The sequence below is a fragment of the Homo sapiens genome, chromosome 15 (assembly GCF_000001405.40).
Source record: "Homo sapiens chromosome 15, GRCh38.p14 Primary Assembly".
Classification (NCBI taxonomy): domain Eukaryota; kingdom Metazoa; phylum Chordata; class Mammalia; order Primates; family Hominidae; genus Homo; species Homo sapiens.
The window spans coordinates 91,832,573-91,836,170 of record NC_000015.10 but is presented as its reverse complement, the minus strand read 5'-3'; the positions used below and the strand labels follow the sequence as shown (position 1 = coordinate 91,836,170).

Genomic DNA, 3,598 nt, shown 5'->3' with positions numbered 1-3,598 from the left:
AGACAGACATCAATGTTTGATCGGGAAATTCCAGGCTACTAAAAACTAAAATCCATGGGGAAAATGTAGACTTTATTTTTAATTGATATGAAAAGTCAAGATTAACTTAAGAAGAAAGTTTCAGCCTGGTGTCCATTGTTTGGATTTAGATAGTCTTCAGAGAAATAATCTGACCTCCTGCCCTAACCAAGAATCAATGCTTCAACCAGATCCTACGACCTTGGCTGTCTTAAGTTTATATTCCTTTTCTTTTTGGTCTGGAATACTGTAAACTTGAGATTTTTAATTAAGTACTGCTATAATCTTAGATAGTATAGGCGTAGTATAAAAAATTAAGAAATGGGGAAGAAAACAAGATGTTGACATTTTAGGAATAGACATAGGTATTAGTAACATTTTTCATAATCATTGTATTTGTGTATGTCTTGTAGTTTGATGTGTTTGAGTGCTTAAAGGGATGGCATGGAAAACAGGGACTAAAAAGTTGTCCTTTAAAACAAATGACACAGAAGAATTTTTATTGAGTCTTTCAAGATTAGTTTCTATTGCATTGAGAGCAGAACAGACTGTAGTGGGTTGAGGAGCAGATGGAAATGGTTAAGACTAGGGTGAGGCAAGAGTCTTGGGGCTAAATAAAAGGGGAGGGGGTGCCAAAAATGAAGTAATCAAGATAAATAATTATTTCCTTTTTTCATGTCAGACAGACAATGCATCTACTTCATAAAAAGATTTGAGGGAGACACATCTCACACATGAAAACCCAATCATCATGCTTATAAACCGCAAAAGGAGCAAGATTAATATTTTAAGGCACTGTTTTTTAAAAGTCAAGATTAATGTAAAGAAGTCTATGATAAACAAAATGTCCCTATTACATACTGGTGGGATGAAAACTAAGAGTGTGGGTGCCCGTAATAGGTCCTTTTAAAAGCTGCCTGTGGGCAAGAAAGAAGGGAGCTTGGGCTGGAAGGAAAGCAAAAGTCCACGGAGGTGGGTTGGCTTGCTTTCTGGTTTCAAGATGGGAGAACTTTGAACATATGCCAATGCTTAGGTGATGGCCTAAGTCCAATTCTTTCTCATCCAGCATCGTAATTACGGGGAGCCAGAGGAATTTGGGCACTCCGGTTGGAGACATAGGACAAACGAATTCTTCCTGTGTGCATGTTATTGGGGTAGGGGAGGAGAAAAGCTTTCATGGGACAGTGGGATGTCTTGCTTCAAATGACAAATAGCTCTATCCTCCTGAGAACACGCAGGCTTTCTTATCCCTTTTTTCCAGGCTGTGTTGATTTGATAGCCCCATTGCCCACATCCTGCTTGCATTTCTGCCCAGGCTCAATTCTTTCAGCTCTTTTCTTTCAGCTTCTTTCACTTTGCCAGGACATCATTGTGAGGGTGGGATCGGGGATAGAAACTCTACACCTTGTTACTTAAAGTGCAGCCAGGGACCACACCAGCTGGGAGCTTGTGTCTTGTCTCAGATCCTGCCTCATTGGGAAGCACCACTTATACCTCTGGCCTCAAACTTGCTCTGCATGGGAGGCACTTGGAGGCCTTCAAAAAAATGCCAATTGCGAGTTCTCCCCCACCGGCTCCTGGATCCTGATTTAATGGGTTGCTCTCACTGCACTTCTCAACGTGGAGGGGGCATCAGGATTCTTGAAAACTCCCAGGTGATTCTAGTGTGCAGCAAAACAGTAAAGTTTGAGAACCGCTGCTCTGCACCACCTACTCCCCTTTCCTAGCTTCTGTGTGGCCATTTCCCAGCAGCTAGAGGAAGGGCAGAGGAGAAAGGAAATAATCGTTTTCGTCTTGGATTCGGGATCATAGATGGTGAGATCGATGATTTTCCCTCCAAGCGTCCTGTGCCTCAAACTTTTTCACATTAAAGCCAATCAGTCATCTAGTAAGCGTATTAGCTATTAGGTTCTACATTATCCCATGCCTGGGTTCCCACAACCTATGAATACAAGTATTTCTCACCTGTTTTCATTTCCCTTTGAAATTCCAATGAGCACTCCAGGTTGGAACAGCCCTTGTGTACTGGGGCACCAACTCTGCAGCTTTTCTTTCCAAATTTCAAAGTTTAGTTTTTAAATAAGAGGCTTATTTACTCACATAAGCTTATGGGTTTTCCCAGGCAAAAAGGGCAGATTTAAGTTTAATCAAATTTGGGGGAACTTTATTAGTGTCAGCTGGTTCACTATCTTTTCTCTGAAAATGCTTCAGAACCACAATAGCCGAGCGCTTGCCTTGTTTTGATCATGGAGGTAAGACATCACTTCGTTCCGCAAAGACTGAAGTTAACAGTTGAAGTTAGGGTTACTCATTTTGAGGCCTCCTTTCTTTTTTCAAACCAATTATAGTGATTTGATCAAATAATTGGCCAACAGTATTGTTTTAGTCAAGGTTCCCCAGAGAAATAGAACCAGTAAGACATATATAGAGAGAGATGAAGGATTTATTAGATATATATATAGAGAGAGATGAAGGATTTATTAGCGTATTTGACTCATTTAATTATGGAGGCTGAGAAGTCCCAAGATAGACCAACTGCAAGTTGGAGAACCAGGAAAATCAGTAGCTTGGCTCAGTCCCAAACCCAAGGTTTCAGAACAAAGGAAGGTGACAGTGTAATTCTCAGTCCAAGGCCAAAGGCCCAGGATCTGCTGATGTGAGTCCAAAGGCCAGAGAAACTGGAGTTCTGATGTCTGAAGGCAGGAGAAGAAGGGTCTCCTGGCTTTGGAAGTGAGAGGAAGAGAATTTGACCTTACTTCACCTTTTCGTTCCCTCCAGGCCCCCAGCCCACTGGATGGTGTCTGCTACATTGAGAGTGGATCTTCCCCATTCTAGTTCACCTACTTACATGCCAATCTCCCCCAGGAGCACTCTCACAGACACACTTAAGGCAGCCGAATTATTCTAATTAAATGCCAAATGAGTTGGGTTTCCCTTTCAGCAGAAGGGGGATGGGCTCAGTGCCTACTGAAGCACTGAGAATAAATAATGCCTTCCCAGCTATTTGGGTTCCTTTAATCCAGTCAAGTTGACACCCAAATCAACCTTCACAGTATTTCTGTCTTAGTCTGTTTGTGCTGCTCTAACAAAATACTGCAGACTGGATAATTTATAGAAGACAAGCATTTATTTTCTCCCAGTTCTGGAGGCTGGGAAGTCCAAGATGAAGGCGCCAGCAGCTTTGGTTGCCTGGCGAGGGCTGTGTCTGCTTCTGAGATGGTGCTTTGATGGTGTATCCTCTGAAAGGGAGGAACACTATACCCTCAGGGGTAAAAGAGCAAATGAGCCAAACACTGTGTGAAGCCTCTTTTATAAGAATCTCAATCCCACTCACAAGGGAGGAGCCCTCATGGCCTAAACATCTCTTAAAGGCCCCACCTCCTAATACTATCATATTGGCAACTCCTGAATTTTAAAGGGGACATATTCAAACCGTAGCAAGTACAAACCTTAAACTGAGAAAGAGGAGGAAGAGTAAAGCGTAGAGAAGAAAAATAGGAAGAAGATGAAGATAAACAATGCAACAAGCAGCTTCAATGCACAGAATATGTCTCAGACATTGAACAGCACAGAACAGCGA

At 42.1% G+C, this 3,598-nt stretch overlaps 1 pseudogene; it reads right to left on the bottom strand.

The window, feature by feature from the left end:
- Window positions 1-694: 694 nt before the first annotated feature.
- LOC124903608 (uncharacterized) lies at window positions 695-792 on the bottom strand (annotated as a pseudogene).
- Window positions 793-3,598: the final 2,806 nt, after the last annotated feature.